This window comes from Homo sapiens, chromosome 1 (assembly GCF_000001405.40).
Source record: "Homo sapiens chromosome 1, GRCh38.p14 Primary Assembly".
Classification (NCBI taxonomy): domain Eukaryota; kingdom Metazoa; phylum Chordata; class Mammalia; order Primates; family Hominidae; genus Homo; species Homo sapiens.
Genome location: NC_000001.11, coordinates 32,460,541 through 32,482,952, shown reverse-complemented (window position 1 = coordinate 32,482,952; position 22,412 = coordinate 32,460,541). Strand labels below are relative to the sequence as shown.

General features: G+C 46.9%; 1 protein-coding gene across 1 annotated transcript in view; it reads right to left on the bottom strand.

The window, feature by feature from the left end:
- ZBTB8B (zinc finger and BTB domain containing 8B) overlaps positions 1 to 17,881 on the bottom strand; it is a 31,615-nt gene extending 13,734 nt beyond the window's left edge. The window contains exons 1-3 of the mRNA NM_001145720.2: positions 17,848 to 17,881; positions 11,338 to 12,369; positions 1,884 to 2,062 (exon numbers count right to left, since the gene is read on the bottom strand). Coding sequence (NP_001139192.1) covers positions 1,884 to 2,062; positions 11,338 to 12,328 — 1,170 coding nt within the window. The 5' untranslated portion in view covers positions 12,329 to 12,369; positions 17,848 to 17,881. The remainder of the gene's footprint in view (positions 1 to 1,883; positions 2,063 to 11,337; positions 12,370 to 17,847) is intronic.
- Positions 17,882 to 22,412: the final 4,531 nt, after the last annotated feature.

The following is a 22,412-nucleotide window of genomic DNA, read 5'->3' as shown; positions in this document are numbered from 1 at the left end:
GTCCTAGTGGGTGGGAAGTGGCATCTCACTTTGATTTGCATTTACCCTATGAGTAATGATGTTGAGCATCTTTTCATGTGCTTATTGGCCATTTGTCTATCTTTTCCTGAGAAATATCTATTCAAATCCTTTGCCCAGGTTTAATTGAGTTATTCATCCTTTTACTATTGCATTATAAAAGTTCTTTATTCTGCATACTAGACACTTATCAGATATATCCCTTGCAAATATTTTCTCCCATTCTGAGGGTTTTCGTATTCTTTTTTTTTTTTTTTTTTTTTTTGACACGGAGTCTCACTCTGTTACCAGGCTGGAGTGCAGTGGTGTGATCTTGGCTCACTGCAACCTCCACCTCCCGGGTTCAAGCAGTTCTCCTGCCTGAGCCTCCTGAGTAGCTGGGACTACAGATGCACACCACCACAGCTGGCTAATTTTTGTATTTTTAGTAGAGACAGGGTTTCACCATGTTGGCCAGGATGGTCTCCATCTCTTGATCTTGTGATCTGCCCACCTCAGCCTCCCAAAGTGCTGGGATTACAGGTGTGAGCCCCTGCGCCCGGCCAGTTTTCGTATTCTTAAGAGCGTCCATTGAAGATCAAACTATTTGTATGTTAGATTTCCCAAACACTGATTGTCTTGCTCAAAGACAATCATAACTGCACATGGTGGCTCATGCCTATAATCCCAGCACTTTGGGAGGCTGAGGCAGGCAGATCGCTTGAGCCCAGGAGTTCAAGACCAGCCTGGGCAACCTGGAAAAACCCTGTCTCTACAAAAAAACAAAAAACAACAACAACAAAAAAACACGTTAGCTGGGCATGGTGGTGTGTGCCTGTAGTTCCAGCTACCTGCGTAGGGGCTCAGGTGAGAGAATCACCTGTGCCTTGGGAGGTCAAGGCTGCAGTGAGCTGTGATCTCTGCAGCCTGGGTGACAGAGTGAGACTCTGTCTCAAACAAAACAAAACAAAAAAAGATGATCATAAAATGCAACATCTGCAGCCATTAAAAAGAATGAGATCATGTGTTTTGTGGGAACATGGATAGAGCTGGAGGCTATTATCCTCAGCAAACTAACATAGGAACAGAAAACCAAATACAACATGTTCTCACTTATAAGTGGGAGCTAAATGATGAGAACTTATGAACACAAAGAAGGAAACGGCAGACACTGGGGTCTACCGGAGGGTGGGAGGTGGGAGAGGAGCAAAGAGAACTAATTCCTGGGTGATGAAATAATCTGTACAACAAACCCCTGTGACATGAGTTTACCCATGTAACAAACCTTCTCGTTTACCCCTGAACCTAAAAGTTTAAATAAATAAATAAATATAACATCTTTCTAAGTGGCCTGAATGGTTTTCAGCGGGTTGGAATCACCAGCTCACATGGAGACAATGCTAGGGGGCAGCTTGTTAGAGGGGAGGGTCTCCTTGGGCTGGAGCCCTTTTTGTCTGCTGCCCACAGGTAGCTCTATACATGGCAGTATACCCTTCCCTTACCCCTAGGTGCTGGGGCTCGGTGGGAAACTGAGGATGCAGCTTACCTTTGGTATCACACTGGTAGGAAGAGATCCACAATCCTGTCTGAGCCCTGTTGTTCTCTACATTACAATAATCACCTCTTATCAGGATCTAAACTTTCTTGGCTCTTCCCCTTAGAAAACTAGTCTAACTTGAAGTTAAAACTTAACTCTAACATATAAAGTTTTAACTTTCTGTAAGTGCCACCACCTGAGCTTTAATTTAGTAGTAAAAACATACGTGGAAATTATCTGAAAATACCCCAGTAGACAGAGAAATGAAAGACAGGCTGGCTTCACCCTTCCATTAGATGATATCATGAATAGCTCTTGCCACAAGGGCATGGCCAGCTCGAACACTTACACTCAGTGCGTGGCTCCGCAGGTGCTCTTGTCGAGTGAACCTCTTGCCGCAGGTCTCACAGGGGTAGGGCCGCTCGCCTGTGTGTGAACGGATGTGCCGCTTGAGGATGCCCTTCTGTTTGGCAGTGTAAGGGCAGAAAGGACACTTGTGGAGCTTGATGGGGACCACCAGCACATCACCTGGGGAACCAAATGCTTTCATTTAGCTGTGCTGTATGCAGTGACCAACCCTGGCTACCCGCCGGTGGATGGGATCCAGAGCTGGGGAATTCCACCAGCCCAGATAGAAGAGGAGGACACCAACTCCGCCACCAGCCAACAGCAAGACATCGTCTGCAATTCCAACTCAGTCTGGCTCCCAGTCAGCCCCAGGATAAAGTAAAGTGGACTTCTTATAATGTCGGGAATGCTATAAGGCACCAGCTTCCACACTTCTGTGTGACTGACAGAAACTCAGCTTGCACTGCAACCTCAGAACACACGTGCCTTATGTGGATAACTGGAAAAGTTTCCCAAAACAATACTCACCCTGATAGTGTTTATTCTGTTTGGTTTCATTTTAAGACTGCTGGGTGAGACTCTGTTATGGACTTAATTGTGTCCCCCTAAAATTCATACCTTGAAGTCTGTATTTGGAGATAAAGCCCTTAAGAAGGTAATTAAGGTTAAATGAGTTTATAAGGTGGGGCCCTAATGATAGGACTGGTTTCCTTATAAGAAGAGGAAGAGACACCAGAGATCGACTGATCTCTCTCTCCTTCTCCCTGCATACCCCCCACCATTCCTCTCACCCCCACCCCCAGCACACACAGAGGAAAGGCTATGTGAGGACACAGTGGGAAGGCTGCCATCTGCAAATCAGGAAGAGGCCTCACCAGAACCCAACTCTGCTGGAGCCTCTAGAACTATGAGGATACATTTCTGTTGTTTAAGCTTCCCAGTCTGGGGCACTCTGTTGTGGCAGCCTGAGCTGACTAATACAACCCTCTGAATTGATCTCACTACCTTCAGAACTTGGAAAACGCTGTTATGATGGATCAGATTTCTAGACCAGAATTCATGCTTTCTTGGACAGTAGTTCCTAAGAATATTTTCTAAGTATACATAGAAGAGGCTTGCTTTGATGAAGACCCTAAATTGTTTGGAATTTATATTAACTCTATATATCTGAAATCATCAAATATCCAGGAATTCACTTAAATCTTTTTCCAATTTATTCCCTCACCTTGCTCATATAACCATTAAGGTGACAATGTGATTATCACTCACATGTATAGAAACTGTTCCATTCAAGTTCTGTGAGTTACACTTACTGCTATAGTCATCCCTTGGTACCCACTGGGAATTGGTTCCAGGATACTCCTTGGATACCAAAATCCAAGGATGCTCAAGTCCCAAAGTCAGCCCTGCGGATCCTGTGAATACTGTATTTTCCATATGTGGTTGGTTGAATCCACGGAACCACGGATGCAGAAGTTATGGACACAGAGGGTCAACTATATTCCGAGATTTCTCCTTCATTTTTATTTTTTTATTTTTTTATTTTTTGAGATGGAGTCTCACTCTATAACCCAGGCTGGAGTGCAGTGACACGATCTTGGCTCACTGCAACCTCCACCTCCTGGGTGCAAGTGATTCTCCTGCCTCAGCCTTCGGAGTAGCTGGGATTACAGCCACCCACCACCATGCCCAGTTAATTTTTGTATTTTAGTAAAGGCGGGGTTTCACCATGTTGGCCAGGCAGGTCTCAACTCCTGACCTCAGGTGATCCGGCTGCCTCAGCCTCCCAAAGTGCTGGGATTACAGGCATGAGCCACCATGCCCGGCCCGAGATTTGTTCTCTCTATCCATGCCCTTCAATATTTATAGACTTTGGTCATATCATATCATATCATATCATATCACCTATGAAGGCACTAGTGACTCAAGCTTTCTAGGTACAGAAACCTGGTTCAAGTCCTGGCTCTAGCACTGATCAGCTGTGTGGCCCTGGACATCTCACTTAGCTTCTCTGTGCCTCACTTTCCTCATCTGTAAAACAGGTATGATAACAGTTCCCACCTCACAGGATTGTGGTAAGAATGAAATAAAGTAACACATAAAGCATAGCACGTGGCACATAGTAAGAACTTGCAAATGTCAGCCATGTTTGTCATCATCGTAATCTCTTCAGAATTTTTTTTACCAGGTAAGCAGTCCAGGCTCTTGTGGTCTCTGTCAACACTGGAGTAACTCTTTTCTCTGGGGCTGGCTTGGGATACCTAACTGGCTCTGTCTTTCCTGAGGTGCTATGAAAAGTATGGCACACTAAACTGAATGTGAAAGTCCAACATCCTTTATGTAAGGGTGGAAACTCTCTTTGGTATCAAGTTCCCATCCTAATAATGCCTAACATTTTGCATACTCTATAGTGACTCCGATATCTGTTTCCCAGGATAAAAGCAGCAGCTCAAAAGCTCATCACTGCTCACATATGTGAGATTATTAAATCTCTGACTGCTCACACTGGTACTGATACAAGTAAAATAGGAATTATTACTATTATTATTTTTTTTTCCTGAGATGGAGTCTCACTCTGTCACCCAGGCTGGAGTACAGTGGCACGATCTTGGCTCACTGCAACCTCCGCCTCCTGGGTTCAGGTGATTCTCCTGCCTCAGCTTCCAGAGCAGCTCGGATTACAGGTGCACACCACCATGCCTGGCTAATTTTTGTATTTTTAGTAGAGACAGGATTTCACCATGTTGGCCAGGATGATCTTGAACTCCTGACCTCAAGTGATCCACCCGCTTCAGCCTCCCAAAGTGCTGGGATTATAGGCGTGAGCCACCATGCCTGGCCTGTTTTTCGTTTTTGACACAGGGTCTCTGTCACCCAGGCAGGAGTGCAGTGGCATGATCATGGCTCACTGCAGCCTCTACCTCCCAGGCTCAGGTGATCCTCCCACCTCAGCTCCCCAAGTAGCTGGGACTACAGGCGTGTGCCACCATGTGCAGCTAATTTTTTTTTTTTTGAGACGGAGTTTTGCTTTTGTTGTGCAGGCTGGAGTACAATGGCACAGTCTCGGCTCACTGCAACCTCCGTCTCCCAGGTTCAAGTGAATCTCCTGTCTCAGCCTCCCAAGTAGCTGGGATTACAGGCGAGTACCACCATGCCTGGCTAATTTTATATTTTTAGTAGAGACCGAGGTTTCACCATGTTGGTCAGGCTGATCTCAAACTCCTGACCCCAGGTGATCCACCCACCTGGGCCTCCCACAGTGCTGGGATCACAGGTGTGAGCCACCATGCCCGGCCATGGGCAGCTAATTTAACAATTTTTTTTTTTTTTTTGTAGAGACAGAGTCTCACTATGTTGTCCAGGCTGGTATTGAACTCCTAGGCTTAAGGGATCCTCCATGCCTCATGGTCCCAAAGTGCCAGGATTACAGGTGTGAGCCACAGCACCCAGCCAGGAATGACGACCTGTTTCCTAGGATCAAAGTAGCAGCTCATAACTCATCACCCTGCTCACTCCTCTGGCACTGTGGAACTTCCTTGTTATTTATCTCCATCACCTTAGCTTTGTACCACACACTTCTTCCTGATTATCTACAAAAACATAAAATAAAATAGGCCCAGCATAAGTCCTTGGGAAAAATAACTGTTAACTGTTTCTCCATCAGAAAAGTATGGATTGTCTCAACACTTTCTTCCCCTTTCCTGATCTCACTCCAATACCACAGTTCACCTGAATCCTATTACATGACAGGCCATTGTAAGACACCTGTTTCCTCCCTCAAGAAGTTAAGTCTAGCAGGAAAGATATGTAAACATATTCATACAATATGATGCCCACATGCAAAGTTCAAAGTGATGAAGAAATATAAATAAAAAGTGATGATTTTCCCTAGGAGTTCAGAGAAGATTTCACAGAAGAGGTTAACTTTGAGCAAGGTTTTAAAAGATGAACAGGAGTTCACCAGGACTTCAAGACAGAGAAAGGTATCTTGGGCAGAGGAAGAACACGTACTTAGGCATAGAGGTAAATGAGAATATGAAGTATGAAGTGGGGGTTAGGAATGAGGGCAAGGAAGGGACAAGAACTAGATTGTGATGGTCACATTCATTCATTCATTCAGCAAATTTATACTGAGCACTCACTATGTGTCAGGCTCTGTTCTAGGGTCCTGGGGATACAACAGTGAACAGAATAGACCAAAGTCCCTGCCCCTCATGGAGCTAACATGCTGAGAAACTTGGACTTTACCTGTAAGCAGCTTGGATTTTTTTTTTTTTTTTTTGAGACAGAGTCTCGCTCTGTTGCCCAGGCTGGAGTGCAGTGGTGCGACCTCGGCTCACTGCAACCTCCAACTCCAGGGTTCAAGTGATTCTTCTGCCTCAGTCTCCCGAGTAGCTGGGACTACAGGCCTGAGCCACCACTCCCAGCCAGCTAGGATTTTAAGCAAGGAAGGTACGTGGTCAAACTTTCATGGCCAGATTTAAAAGATCCCTCTGGGCACAATTCAGGGAAAAGACTTAAGAGAGTCAATATTAAAGGCAGGAAGTCCAGGTGGGAGGGGACCATGAGTCTGGATGAGAGATGACAGGAGCTAAGGCAGTAGTTGTGGAGGTGGAGAGGAGACACACTGAGGAGGAGTGAAATTAACAGAAGGAAAAGCAGGTACATGAGGAAAGGGGAGTTCAGTTCGGATTTTACAGGGATTGAGGCTTGTGCAGAGCATCCAGGTGGGAATAAAAATTTAAAAGAAACTACCAAAAACCCCCCTATGACCAGGCATGGTGGCTCATGCTTATAATCCCAGCACTTTGAGAGGCTGAGGCAGGAGGACCACTTGAGCCCAGGAGGTCGAGGCTGCAGTGAGCTGTGATCGTGCCACTGCACTCCAGCCTGGGTGACAGCGTGAGACCCTGTCTCAAAACAAAACAAAACAAAACAAAACAAAACAAACCTGGCCAGGCACAGCAGCTCACACCTGTAATCCCAGCACTTTAGGAGGCTGAGGCGGGTGGATCACTTAAGGTCAGGAGTTTGAGACCAGCCTGATCAACATAGTGAAACCCTGTTGCTACGAAAAATACAAAAATTAGCTGGGCATGGTGATGCCCGCCGGTAATTCCAGCTACTTGGGAGGCTGAGGCAGGAAAATCACTTGAACCTGGGAGGCGGAGGTTGCAGTCAGCCGAGATGGCACCACCGTACTCCAGCCTGGGCAACAGAGTGAGACTCTGTCTAAAAAAAAAAAAAAAAAAAACCTCCCCTCTTTGCATTTAAGGTTTTCCATGATCTGATTCCAGTCAATTTTTCCCTGTCCCCTCTTCTTACCTTCAGATGGCACTTTCAGGATGCCTCCCTGATCTCCCAGTAGGAAGCCAGTTCTCCTTCTGGACTACCATGAACTCATACCTCTGAGTGTCTTTCAACCCTAGTACCTTTCTAGCATGTGACGTCATTTACATTTGTGTCTTTTGTTTTGTTTTGTTTTTTGAGACAGTCTCGCTTTGTTGCCCAGGCTGGAGTGCAGTGGTGTGATCTTGGCTCACTGCAACCTCCGCCTTCCGGGTTCAAGCAATTCTCCTGCCTCAGCCTCCCGAGTAGCTGGGATCACAGGCACTCGCCACCACGCCTGGCTAATTTGTTTCTGTATTTTTAGTAGAGACCGGGTTTCACCATGTTGGCCAGGCTGGTCTTGAACTCCTGACCTCAAGTGATCCACCTGCCTCGGCCTCCCAAAGTGCTGTGATTATAGGCATGAGCGACTGAGCCCGGCCCACATTTGTGTCTTATCTCCTATACAACACTATCAGTTCTTTGAGGGCTGCATCCATGTCTGACTTATCTTTATGCCTTCACACAAAAGGTACTCAAATATTTGAACAAATAAATGAATAACCAAACAAATCAATCCTACTCTGTGCCTTAGCACTTGGAAAAACTATACCCTGGAGCCGTATGAATGAAATAAAAACATGGTAGACAACAGGGCATGGCCAGGGGCCAGGGCAGCTGCCTTGCCACACCACAACACCTTATAGCAAGAACTCTGACTTTCCAGACCAATAAGGACAGGACCTGAATATATTATAAGTGGCACAGAGCCAAATGCCTATTTCCTGATACTTCTTGTGCTTACATGCAGAGGGGTTCAAAGAAAAAAATCATTGCACTGAAATCCGCTACCTACTTGTGTTGCTTTCACTGTTTGTTTAATGAATGAAAGAAGCCACTCCAGTTTTCTGGTTTTAGCTGGGCCACTTACTACTTACATTCTTACGAAACTCACTAAACCCTTCTAGGTAACAGTTTCTCCATATTTCCTCTGCCAAAGGCATGGGACACCATGAGAGACTTGTGGATGTGAAAGGGTGATCAGTCTGTGAAATGCCATTATACACACAGCAATGAGAATTTGAACAAGTTCCCACGGTGTGTTCATGGAAGCAGCCACTATCTTCCCAATGCTGGTGAAGCCAGTGTCTCAGAACCAGAAACAGCATTTTCAAGTGTTTCTTTTTTTTTTCTTTTTCCTTTTTTTTTTGAGACAAGGTCTCACTCTGTCATCGAGGCTGGAAGCACAATCACAGCTCACCGCAGCCTCGACCTCCCAGGCTCAGGTGATCCTCCCACCTCAGCCTCCTGAGTAGCTGGGACTATGGGTACATGCAATGACGCCTGGCTAATTTTTCAATTTTTTTTTTTTTTTTTTTTTTTTTTTTTTTTTTTTTTTGTAGAGATGGGGTTTTGCCATCTTGCCCGGGCTGGTCTCAAACTCCTGGGCTCAAGCAATCCTCCCTCCTTGGCCTCTCAAAATGCTGGGATTATAGGTGTGAGCCACTGCACCTGGCCATTTTCAAGTTTTTCAAGTCTTGTTTTAATCAGACACACTGAGTGCTCTTGCTTTTTAAAAAAATGAAATTTGAAGCCGGGCATAGTGGCTCATCCTTGTAATCCTAGCACTTTGAGAGGCCGAGGCAGGGGGATCACCTGAGGTCAGTAGTTCGAGTCCAGCCTGGCCAACATGGTGAAACCTCATCTCTACTAAAACTACAAAAACTAGCCAGGCATGGTGGCACGTGCCTGTAATCCCAGCTACTCGGGAGGCTGAGGCAGGAGACTCGCTTGAACCCAGGTGGCAGAGGTTGCAGTGAGCTGAGATCGCACCACTGCACTCCAGCCTGGGCAACAGAGTGAGACTCTGCCTCAAAAAAATTAAAATAAAATAAACCCAGAAATTAGAAAGTTTCAAGACAGGCCAGGCACAATGGCTCACACCTGTAATCCTGGCACTTTGAGAGGCTGAGGTGAGAGGATTGCTTGATCCCAGGAGTTTGAGACCAAACTGAGCAACATAGGGAGACCTTGTCTCTATTATAAATCAAACATACAAAAAATTAGCTGGGTGTGGTGGTGTATGCCCGTAATCACAGCTACTTGGGATGCTGAAGTGGGAGGATCACTTGAGCTCGGGAGGTCGAGGCTGCAGTGAGCTGTGATTATGCCACTGCACTCTAGTCTGGGCAACAGAGTAAGACCCTGTCTCAAAAAAAAAAAAAAAAAAGTCTCAAGACAGCCATTTAGTAATGAATAAAAATAGCTGATCTCCCTTTATTTAAAAGACTTTCACTTCAGAGAATCAGAAGCTAAAAAAAGGAAAAGACTTTCACTACTCAATATTTCACTACTAGACTGCAATTCATGAATTTCTTGGCTTGAGGTTCTGGTATTTTTTTCCTTTTCTTTTCTTTCTTTCTTTCTTTTTTTTTTTGAGAAGTAGTCTCGCTCTGTCACCCAGGCTGGAGTGTGGTGGCACGATCTCGGCTCACTGCAAGCTCCGCCTCCTAGGTTCAAGCTATTCTCCTGCCTCAGCCTCCTGAGTAACTGGGATTACAGGCGCGTGCCGCCGCGCCCAGCCTTGGCTTAAGGTTTGGAAGCCACGTTTCATCAGTAAGTTGGCAGCCAAGTTTATTTTTGTCTCCTACAAGACACCTTATAACACAATTACCTCACCTGTTAAGAGGAGTTAGCCATATTAACTCAACTCTCATAACTGTTCAAAGAAACAAGCAGGTTCTCTTAAAACGCAAAAGCCCACCAAAGGATGTAAAAAATTAGCTCACATGATGTCAAATACTGGCTCTAAAATAGTCTCAAGTCAGCCGGGCACAGTGGCTCACGCCTATAATCCTGGCACTTTGGGAGGCCAAGGCAGGAGGATCACTTGAGGTCAGGAGTTTGAGACTAGCGTGGCCAACATGGTGAAACCCTGTCTCTACTGAAAATACAAAAACTAGCTGGGCGTGGCGGTATGCGCCTACGGTAATCCCAGCTACTCGGGAGGCTGAGGCAGAAGAATCACTTGAACCTGGGAGGCAGAGGTTGCAGTGAGCCGAGATCACACCGTTGCACTCCAGCCTGGGTGACAGAGCGAGACCCTGTCTCAATCAATCAATCAATCAATCAATCAAATAGTCTCAAGTAGATGGCATCATCAAGCATGCCAGGCTGGGTGCCTAGTCTCTGACAAGCACCTTGGCTGACACAGAGAAGTATAAATCTCTGGAGCATATATCTCTGGACATCACTTCAATCTCATTCTCCCCACACAAAACTGACCTCCCAGCATAGAGGAAATCTAAGATGATATGTGAGAAAAAGTTCTGAAAACTCTCTCATTTGGTCCCCACAACAAACCTGTGAGAGAGGCAGGGCAGGGATGATTATTCCCGTTTTACAGATGACAAAACAGACTCAAAGAGATTCAATGATTTAACCAAGGTCCCACTGCCGGTTAGTGGAAGAGAGTGGGTTCCTCCCATGTCTCCAAACTGCCCCCAACACACTTACATTCCAGTTGTAGAGGTAAAACACAAACATACATGAAGAAATAATGCCCTGCATATAGCAGGTGCTCAATTAATGCATATTGGTGGTGGTGGTGGTGGCAATAATGGTGACTGATGATGATCATAATGAGATGGTGATACTGGTGATGATGGTAGTGATGATGATGGTACTGGTGATGATGGTAATGATGATGGTACTGGTGATGATGGTAGTGATGATGATGGTACTGATGATGATGGTAATGATGATGGTGATACTGGAGATGATGGTAATGATGATGATGGTACTGGTGATGATGGTAATGAATAGTACTGGTGATGATGATAGTGATGATGATGGTACTGATGATGGTGATACTGGAGATGATGGTAATGATGATGATGGTACTGGTGATGATGGTAATGATGGTACTGGTGATGATGGTAGTGATGATGGTAATGATGACGATACTGGTGATGATGGTAATGATGATGGTACTGGTGATGATGGTACTGATAATGTTGGTAGTGACAATGATGATGGTGATAATGATCATGATGATGGGAGAACACAAGGCACAGACAGTGTGTACTCAATCACTGGCAGGGCTGATGAATGCTAAGGGAGCTCACCTGAGTCCTCTCCATACCAGTCAGCCTGGACATCCATCATGGAACTCATGGCTACTCCTGCACCTTCTGGTCTTCCTTCCAAACTCCTAGAAAAGTGATGGTCTGCATCATCCTTGCTCGGGGCAGCGCTGTTGCGCAAGAGCGCCTCCAGGAACTGCTTCACGTGGTAGTTGCTGTAAGCCAAGTCAACCGCCTGGCCGCTTGGCAAGGCCTCCTCCACGTGGGCCAGGTTCAGCGGGGCAGCATACTGCTGCAGCTGTTCACCAACGTCCACCTCCACTTCATCAGCATCAAATTCCACCTTGGGCTCTATCCGTTTGGGTGGAGTAGAGAGGTTGCTGTCAGCCGAGCCACCGCCAAGGCTGTCTCTCACCACCAGTTCCAAGGGGTGGCAGTCTCCGCAGTCACCGCAAGGGGACTCTCTCAGGCACTCCACGCTCTTTTCTCCCTCGGCTGGAGAGGAGACCAAGCTCTTGGTACCACAGGAGGTCCCCTCCCGGCCTGAACTGGGGCTTTCACTGTCAACCTGATGAGCCGCCGCTGCTGCCGCCGCTGCAGCCGCCGCCGCTGCCGCCGCCACTGCTGCAGCCACAGCAGCCTCCTTCTCCATCTTTCGGCAAATGTCGAGGGATGACCTAATGTATGTCTTGCAGAAGTTCACCACGTCATTCATCTGCAGGTAGCTGGCAGCCGACATCACTTCAATCACATTCTCCCCACACAAATCCAACTTCCCAGAATAGAGGAAATCTAAGATGATGGAGAAGGCATCAGAGGTGACAATGTCCAAGGAGGCGGTGCTATGCCGCCCGCTGTCCTGGATATAGTGAATGAGCAGGGCTCGGAAGTAGCCGCTGTTAGCAAACAAAATGTTCCTGTGGGCCTTGAAGATCCGCCCTTCCACAATGATGCTGCAGTCACAGAAAAAGTCCCTCTTTCTCTGTTCATTCAGCTCCCCCAAAAGCTTGGCATAATAGGATTGCATCTCCATTGCTCCGCCAGCTGCTGCTGCTCCAGAGCAAACCTGTATCTCTGCCAAGATTTTTCTTAAGTTAATTCACAAATCCCAACCTTTACAAACAAGATTTCTTTTTTTTTTTTTTTTTTTTTTTTTTTGAGTCAGCGTCTTGCTCTGTTGCCCAGGCTGGAGTGAAGTGGCGCAATCTCGGCTCACTGCAACCTCCGCCTCCTGGGTTCACGCCATCCTCCTGCCTCAGCCTCCCGAGTAGCTGGGACTACAGGTGCCTGCCACCACGCCCGGCAAATTTTTTGTATATTTAGTAGAGGCGGGGTTTCACCGTGTTAGCCAGGATGGTCTGGATCTTCTGACCTCGTGATCCGCCCGCCTCGGCCTCCCAAAGCGCTGGGATTACAGGCGTGAGCCACCACGCCCGGCCAATAAGATTTCTTTTAAAAATTTTAAACAACTTTTCCAAAACCAGTGGTGCAATAGTGTCTTTAGGATATGGGCTTCCCAGCACTTTGGGAGGACAAGGCAGGCAGATTACTTGAAATCAGGAGTTTGAGACCAGCCTGCCCAACATGGTGAAACCCCTTCTCTGCTAAAAATACAAAACTTAGCCGGGCCTGTAATCCCAGCTACTAGGGAAGCTGAGGTGGGAGAATCGCTTGAACCCAGGAGATGTAAGCTGCGTGAAACAAGATTGTGCCACTGCACTCCAACCTGGGTGACAGAGCAAGATTCTGTCTCAAAATAATAATAATAATATGGTCTGCTTTGGATCTAATAAAAATAAGAGGTTATCCAACTGGGTTAATTTATGGAAAAAAATAACTATAGCTAATTGCATGTGAGCACAGTGCTTACTGTTTTACATGAATTCTTTCAATGAATTTTTATAAAAACCTTGTAAGTAAATATTAATATTGTCTCCCTTGTTCTGATAAGGAAATTGAGGGTAGGAGATGACCCAGTTGTAACAGATCTGGGACTCAAAATCAGGTCTATTGGCCTCCAGAGCCAATGCTCTAATGTACTACATTCTACTTTCTTCAAGGCTCAAACTATAGAAAATATCCACATCTAAGAATTATACTTGAGGCCAGGCACGGTGGCTCACACCTGTAATCCTAGCACTTTGGGAGGCTGAGGCGGGCAGATCAGCTGAGGTCTGGAGTTTGAGACCGGCCTGGCCAACATGGCAAAACCCCATCTCTACTAAAACTACCATCTCTACTAAAAATTAGCCAGGCGTGGTGGCGGGTACCTGAGTCCCAGCTACTCAGGAGGCTGAGGAAGGAGAATTGCTTGAACCCAGGAGGCGGAGGTTGCAGTGAGCTGAGACTGCGCCACTACACTCCAGCCTGGGCGACAGAGTGAGATTCTGTCTCAAAAAAAAAAAAAAAAATTATACTTGAGTGTTTAGTGTATCAATCTGAAACTGGTTTTCTTTTTTAGAGGAAGGGTCTTGGGTCTGTCGCCCAAGCCAGAGTGCAAATGGTGTGATCATAGCTCACTACACCTTCAAACTCCTGGGCTCAAGCAACCCTCCTGCTTCAGCCTCCCAAGACCTAGGACTACAGGTGCATACCACTGCGCCTGGCCAATTAAAAAAAAATTTTTTTTTGTAGAGATGGCAGTCTTGGTATGTTTCCTAGGCTGGTCTCAAGCTCTTTGCCTCAAGCGATCCTCCTGCCTCCACCCCTCAAAGTCCTGAGATTACAAGCATAAGCCACCACACCCAGCCTCCAGTGTCCCAATTCAAAACTTTGAGACTGGTCTTTTTTTTTTTTTGAGACAGATTCTCCCTCTCTCGCCCAGGCTGGAGTGCAATGGCGCGATCTCGGCTCACTGCAACCTCCGCCTTCCATATTCAAGCGATTCTCCTGCCTCAGCCTCCCAAGTAGCTGGGATTACAGGTGTATGCCACCACACCCAGCTAATTTTTTGTATTTTAGTAGAGATGGGGTTTCACTGTGTTACCCAGGCTGGTCACGAACAAGACTGGTCTCCCTTTATCATCATTATACTGAAGTATTTGGTGGATTCTTGGGCTAGCCAGCATGCATTCCCCATTCTTTTGGTTCTAGTGCCTTTTTTCGGCTTTGATGGAAGCATCCTTCCCCCATTCTTGGCCAACATGCTTTGCATAAAGCTGGTGCCATCCTCAAGCACCAGGTGTGTAAGCTATAATGTAGGCTAATAAAATTAAGGCATCCCACCCTGTGACCACAGTGATTGGCTCGGAGATGGCCATGTAGTTTTCAGAGCCAATGAAAAGCAATGAAACATTTGCTGGAATTTCAAAAAAGAGCACTCTTTGCTCTGTGGGATGCAGGATGTGAGGGATGTTGCTGCCATACCACCAGGGAAGTCAGCCTAACAAAGATGACAGCCCAGCTCAGGCTGATGGAGCCTGGGGACAACATTGGAGCCCCAACTCAAGCAGTGCCAGAAGCCAATTAAGTTCCTTTTTGGTTTAGCTGGTCTGAGTTGGGTTTTCTTTTTTAAATATTATTATTATTATTTTTTGAGATGGGGGATGGGGTCTCACTCTGTCACCCAGGCTGCAGTGCAGTGGTGTGATCTCGGCCCACTCTGACCTCCGCCTCCCTGGCTAAAGTAATCATCCTACCTCAGCCTCCCGAGTAGCTGGGACTACAGGTACCCACCCCCACGCCAGGCTAATTTTTTTTGTACTTTTGGTAGAGACAGGGTTTTGCCATGTTGCCCAGGCTGGTCTCGAACTCCTGGCCTCAAGTGATCTGCCCCCCTCAGCCTCCTAAAGTGCTGGGGTTACAGGTGTGAGACACCACACCTGGCCTCTGAGTTGGGTTTTCTATTTCATGCAACTGGGAGACTCCTAACTGACTGATTCCACTACCCTTGGTTAACTCCTGTTTATTATTTATGTCCTGGCCCTTCTCTGTCAATGAACTACAAGCCCTTTGAAAGCATGAGCCATGTCTTATTCAATTTTATATCCCTTACAGTATCTGGCAGAGTGCTTTGGACAAAATAGATTTGTTAAGCAAAAAAGGAATATTCATTTCTTAACTGCTTAGTAGATAAACTATAAACCAAGTTTAAAATCCACTTGGGGCCGGGTGTGGTGGCTCACACTTGTAATCCCAGCACTTTGGGAGGCCAAGGTGGGTAGATCACCTGGGGTCAGGAGTTCGAGACCAGCCTGGCCAACGTAGTGAAACCCCGTCTCTACTAAAAATACAAAAAAATTAGCTGGGCATGGTGGCGGGCACCTGTAATCCCAGCTACTCGGGAGGCTGAGGCAGGAGAATCACTTGAACCCAGGAGGCGGTGGAGGCGGAGGCTGCAGTGAGCAGAGATTGTGCCACTGCACTCCAGCCTGGGCGATAGTGCGAGACTCCATCTCAAAAAAAAAAAAAAAAACAAGTGTGTGGAGGGACTTTCGCCTTTCATTTTAAACCTTTCTGATAGAATGTTTTACTATGTGCATGTATTGCTTTTCTTTTCTTTTGAGACGGGGTCTTACTTTGTTACCCAGGCTGGAGTGCAGTCCATGATCACAGTTCACTGCCGCCTCGACCTCCCAGGCTCAAGCAATCCTCCTACCTCAGCCTCCCAAGTAGCTGTGACTACAGGCATGCAGCACCACACTCAGCTAATTCTGAAAACATTTTTTTGTAGAGATGGGGTCTCACTATGTTGCCCTGGCTGGTCTCAATGGTCTTGAACTCCTGGACTCAAGTGATCCTTCTGCCTTGGCTTTTTTCTTTGTTAACTAAGAAAAAAAGGAGGCAGGGCAGAGGGGTAAGGAGTTGGTAAGCCAGGTAGATAAATATGTAAGTACGCACAACACTTCTTAACTTGTAGTATGGTCTGATCTATAGGGGCTCTTCCCAGGGCACTTCCGTCTTTCACTGGAAAAGCCTCCTTTCCAGAAATAGCACCTAAAACCAATTTCTTTTGGCTTTCTTACTGAAATTATTTTTTATTCTATTGCAATTATTTTTATTCTACTTCCTGACGTTGCAAAAGTCTATCCGTATAGTATTTTCTTCAAAATTTTCCCCAATCCTGTACTTGGTATATATTGTGTAAATATTTATTTATATCACCCCCATTTGCCTGAAGTGCTCTGCTGCCCCGGGAAGTGCTGAGGATCACCACTTATCCCAGAAGAGCAGCTCTTAGGGCAGACTGCTCTCAGAAGCACATTTATCCGCACTCTGGCAGGGAACCTCCCAACCATCCCACGGTTCCAACTCAATTCAACGGTTACCGGCTACATACAATGCCTGACACAAGGAAGATGCCAGGAATAGAAAAATGAACCAAGTATAGTGCCTGTCCTCCAGGAGACAGCAGATGCCAACACAACTACCTGCAATACAAACTCTCATATACCCTTGAGGGAGTCCTAGCCAGATCACACAACTGTCTCTGTTCAGAGGCCAAAAGCAGCCTTGAATTCCACCTCCGACCCTTTCTGACAAGACTCCTCCAGTCCCACCAACCTGAGAATAACAAAAACCTGCTCCTCAATTTTAGTAAATATTAAGCACTATTCCTTATAAAACACTGTACAAAGTACAAGCATATTCATTTTACTTTTTAAATTAAAATTTTTAAAAGGCACGGTCTTGCTCGGTTGCCCAGGTTGGAGTGCACGATCCTACCTCAATGCAGCCTGGAACTCCTGGGCTCAAGAGATCCTCCCAACCTTAGCTTCCCGAGTAGCAGGGACTACAGGTGCGCGCCACCATGCCTGGCTTTTACAAGCACATTAGTTTTCACCTCACAATAATCCAGTACGACAGATACTCTAACTACATCCTCTTTTTCAGAGGAGGAACTGAGATTCAAAGATGCAGATAACATCACCAAGTTAGTAATAGAACAGAGATCCGACTGACTCCCGGGTTGACATCCTTAACCACTATGCTAACCGGCCTCCTCAAACCCTCCAGGACACGATGCGACAGGTTGGGGAAGTCACTCCTTTCTTTTAGGCATGGATCGGAGGAGAAGGACACTGGAGAAGTTTCCATTTCCATACGAAGAATTTCAGGGTCAACTGCATCTAAACTGCTCGCAAGACAGACCCTCCCCCGTCCAGCATCAGACGACCTGCAGAGAGGCCACCAGAACCAGCTACAGGGCACGGCCCCCGAGGGTGGGACCCCAAGGCCTAGCCCCTCCCATGGCCTCCCGCGGACAAAGTGGCCATCGCTGCCGCTGGCACTTCTCCAGTGTGGCCGAGCCCCCCACGCCTGGGCACCATTCACCGTGGAAGTAGTCGGCGCCGCGACCCCCGGCTGGACGACGCGGAGGACACCCAATGACAGGGAAGCTGGGGCCCCACGGCCGCGCCTGCCCCTCCCCACGCTAGAAGGGCTCGCGGGGCGGAGGTCCCAGGAGTTGCCAGGGCCAAGCGGTCCGAAGGAGGATGACTGAGTGGGGGCAACCCTGCCCGCTAACCCCAATCTCCAGCCAGCCTCCCGGGTGCTAGGAATCCTCCCCAAACCAACGAAAGCGGCAGCGCCAACCCGCTTCTTCGCGCTCACCTTCCAGCGGGTTCCAGCAGCGCAGCCACGGAGCACCGCGCACCGACACGCCCCCCTTTCATTCACCTGGCGCCCTCCGATGAGAGGCGGGGCGGCTGGCCAATCGCGGGAGCGCCTGGCCTCGGGAAGGCGGGCCCTTCGGCCAGCAGGGTGGTCAATGGCGCTGGTGCCCCTCGGAGGATGCGCTCTGAAGGCGCTGGTGCTCGCAGGGTGATGGGAGTTGTGGTCTCAGCGCTGGCTTTTCGGGTAAAGATAGAGTGGACAAAACTACAAGTACCAAGATGCCAAAAGGGGCGAGGACCAGTGCTAGCGAAAGGCTGCAGCTCGGTTCGGTCTTTTGAGTCCCACTTGAGGGACCTGCCAAGTACCGGTCTCTTTGTCTGGAGAGCGAAAAGCACGTCGTGGGTATTAATGCAGTCCAGGGAATAAGAGCTTTGACTCATCAGTCCGCACATATTTCACCTACTGGCGCTTTCCGCAAAAATCTGGAAATAAGGGAAATGGTTTAATCGATTCAACAGGTTTTTATTGCATACCCGCGGTTTCTTTCACTGGGTAGTCGTTACAAAAGATAAAAGATTCAGCTCTTCCCTTGACAGGCTCTCCGGTTCATACATACTAGTGAAACGGTTAAATGGCAGTACTAGGTGCTAAGTGACCGTACAGGCGTGTTCTTGTCAGCTGTGAGCAAGACAAGGCAGCTTACCGCTCTCAGGGAGCTTAGTTCTCATGGGGGTGTATTCGTTTGCTAGGGCTGCTGTACCTAAGTATCACCAACCCGGTGGCGTCAATAACAGATCTTATTGTCTGACAATCCTGGGGGCATCTGAAAGCAAGATGTTGGCAGGGTTCTTTCCTTCTGAGCGCTGTGAGGAAACGGTCTCTTCCAGGCTTCTCTCCTGGGCTTGCATATGGCCATCTTCATGTTCACAGGGCATATTCCCTGTATATGTCTCCATGTCAAAATGTCTCCTTTTGGTTGCAGTGAGTCGAGATCGCGCCACTGCACTCCAGCCTGGGGCGACAGAGAGAGACTCCGTCTCCAAAAAAAAAGTATTTTTATAAGGATACCAGTCATATTGGATTAGGGGTTCACTCTATGCCAGTATGACTTTTTTTTTTTTTTTTTTTTTTTTTTTGAGACGGAGTCTCAGACTCTGTTGCCCAGGCTGGAGTGGTGGCGGGTGGATCACCTGAGGTCAGGAGTCCGAGACCAGCCTGGCCAACATGGTGAAACCCCATCTCTACTAAAAATACAAAAATTAGCCGGGCGTGGGCCAGTAATCCCAGCTACTTGGGAGGCTGAGGCAGGAGAATGCTTGAACCAAAGAGATTGCAGTGAGTGGAGATCTGGCCACTGCACTCCAGCCTGGGCAGCAGAGCAAGACTCTGTCTCAAAAAAAAAAAAAAAAAAAAAAAAGGCTACCCCCTTCGCTGAGAGACCCTAATGAGGAGTAGTGAGCCATGCTAAGATAAAACAGAAAACCGGTTGGTACATATCTAAGAAACAGGAGAATGCCATTGGGTTGAGGAAGTGGATGGCAGGTAGACCAGCTTAATGGACGTGCAACCCACGCAGTGGCACAGGCCCGCACACTCAGAAAGGGCTGGTGCTTCCAGGTGAGGTTTTATACTTAACAAAACAAAACAAAAAAAGAGCCAGGTGCGGTGGCTTACACCTGTAATCCCAGCACTTTGGGAGGCTGAGGCGGGCGGATCACTTGAGACCAGCCTGGCCAACATGGCAAAACCCAGTGTCTACTAAAAATACAAAAATTAGCTGGGCATGGTGACACATACCTGTAATCCCAGCTACTCGGGAGGCTGAGGCATGAGAATCACTTGAACATGGAAAGTGGAGGTTGCAGTGAGCTGAGATTGTGCCACTGCACTGTTTCAAGGAGGAGGAGGACGAGGAGGAGGAGAGAGGGAAGAGGGAAGAAGAAGAAGAGGAAGAGGAAGGAGAGGAAGGAGAAGGAGGAGGAGGAGAAGAAGAAGAAGAAGAAAGATTTAATTACTAACAAAAAGAAAATCTAAATAAATATTTTAAAAATTAAAAAAAAGGAAAGGGCTGATGCCTGGTTTAATGCTCTGCCATTGCCCTCTTAAAATTCTTAGTAGTTTTTGAACAAGGAGCTCTGCATTTTCATTTTGCATTGGGCCCCACAAATTATGTAGCCAGTCCAAGCGACAGGAAATATGAATGGATAGAGAAGCAAAGGCCAGATTATGTAGGAATTTGTAGGCCACCTTAAGGAGTTTGGATTTTTTCTTATGAATGTGAAGGGACACCTTCGAAGGATCTTAAGCAGGGAAGAGATAAGATATGATCTCTCCCCTGCTGATAGATGCTGATAACTGGGGATAGGGTAGAGGTGGTAGAGATGGAGGGGTTTGTTTAGGATATATTTTAGAGCTTGTCAAAAATGTAATTGCAGTTCACTCTAAAGATAACTTAATAATTTTAGAAGGTAAAATGTCAGCCAAACACCACTATACTATCTATCAAAGAAAAGTAGTTTACCTATTTCTTGTAAAGCTGGATACCCAGAGAGGGACAGCAGCAGTTACATCTTTCCTGTTAGTGTGGCTGTCCTTGCCACCTGGTTCCCAAAGGCCAGCTCAGGTGCTGAGGACTTTTGATCATCATAGCAGCAGAGAAAGCATCAGAAGTGAGGAGCACCAAGCTTCTCTGGGCTCAGCCTTTTGTATCTTCTTACCTGGGAAGTCATGTCACTGATGCCTTCACCTTAATTATGACTGTACCTGGAACTCACCCTAGTATTCATTCCACATCTCCTGCATCCAGGCTCCAAGTTTCAGGTCCCAAATTTTATGACTATGGCACACGCAACCTGTACTGGATGACCTAGTAACATTCCAGACTGCTAACGTAAAAGGGCTTTTTGGGGTGGCCTGCATAGGACATGCCCCTGACAACTAGGCATAGGAAATGTTAGAGGCCTTATGATCTCTAGATCTGTTGTGGTCTGCTGTGGGACTTACTCTCGCCACCAAGACCAGCACAACCTTTAGTGTTAGATGCTCTGAACTTCAGTATATTTTTCAAGGTTCAGTTAAAACCAACCTGGCTAGTTTAAGCAAAAAGCAACCTGGCTAGTTTAAACAGAAAAGAATTCATATAAGGAATTAAGTAATACAAATTATCAGGGAGGCTAGAGAATGACTCTGCAGGGATGACTCCAAACTGTCCCAACAGGGTAGCTACCCATTTTTGCTGCAATCAGGAAGGTAAGAAATCAGGACATCACCACTGTACCTGTTAAGCTCAACAACACACTGTTGTGGCTGTGATTAAGGGATTGGAAGTCACCATCACTATTGCTGCCCCTGAAACAGGCTCTCGACCCCTACATGGCTAGTGACTGGACCCTGCAACCCTGCTGCAGACACACCTCATACCTTTGCTGCCACACTTCAGCAGCAAGCAGCAGGCGGGTGGCCTCCACTTCATTTCCAAATCCTGGCCATGACATTTTAACTCTCCAGATTCTGCAGCATAGGAAGGGACACTAGAAGGAGATGGGAATGGATGCTGACTGCTAATCGACAGTACCCAGCAGCATGAATGGCACAGCAATGTGTCACTGAATCTAAAACTTAGGACCTCCAGAGCAAAAAATAGAGAATTAAAAATTGCTGGCTGGGTGCAGTGGCTTACGCCTATAATCCCAGCACTAGGAGAACGAGGCAGGTGGATCACCTGAGGTCAGTAGTTCGAGACTAGCCTGACCAACATCGCAAAACCACCCCCCACTAAAAATACAAAAATTAGGCTAGGCGCAGTGGCTCACGCTTGCAATCCCAGCACTTTGGGAGACCAAGGAAGGTGGATCACCTGAGGTCAGGAGTTTGAGACCAGCCTGGCCAACATGAAACGCCTCTCTAATAAAAATACAAAAAAATTAGCCAGGCATGGTAGCACGCACTTGTAGTCCCAGCTATTCGGGAGGCTGAGGCACGAGAATCGCTTGAACCCAGGAGGCAGAGGTTACAGTGAGCAGAGATGCTGCCACTGCACTCCACCCTGGGCAACAGAGCAAGACTCCATCTCAAAATAATAAGTAAATAAAAATAAAAATACAAAAATTAGCTGGGTGTGGTAGCATACGACTGTAATCCCAGCTACTTGGGAGGCTGAAGCATGAGAATCAACTTGAGCCTGGGAGGTGGAGGTTACAGTGAGCTGAGATGGCACCACTGCACTCCAGCCTGGGTGACAAAGCAAGACTCTGTCAAAAAAAAAAAAAAAATTCCTAAGGGATGACTTCCTGGAAAACAAGCAACCCTATCTTCCCAAAGGGAAATGAGAAAGCATCGCAGCAGGCACTATTTGTTTCCCTTGCCTCTTCCTTAATTGTTTTGATTTAAGATATCATAGAATATTTGGAGCTGTTTATTAGTTTCTACAATGCCAGAGTAATTGATTGAAGTATCAGGGTATAACCCCTTCTCTGGTAACTGACACATTTTTGAGTACTGACTGATGTTGGGAGACAGCTTCTGTCAAGAAGTTGACCTTCTGGAATGCTACAAAGGATACG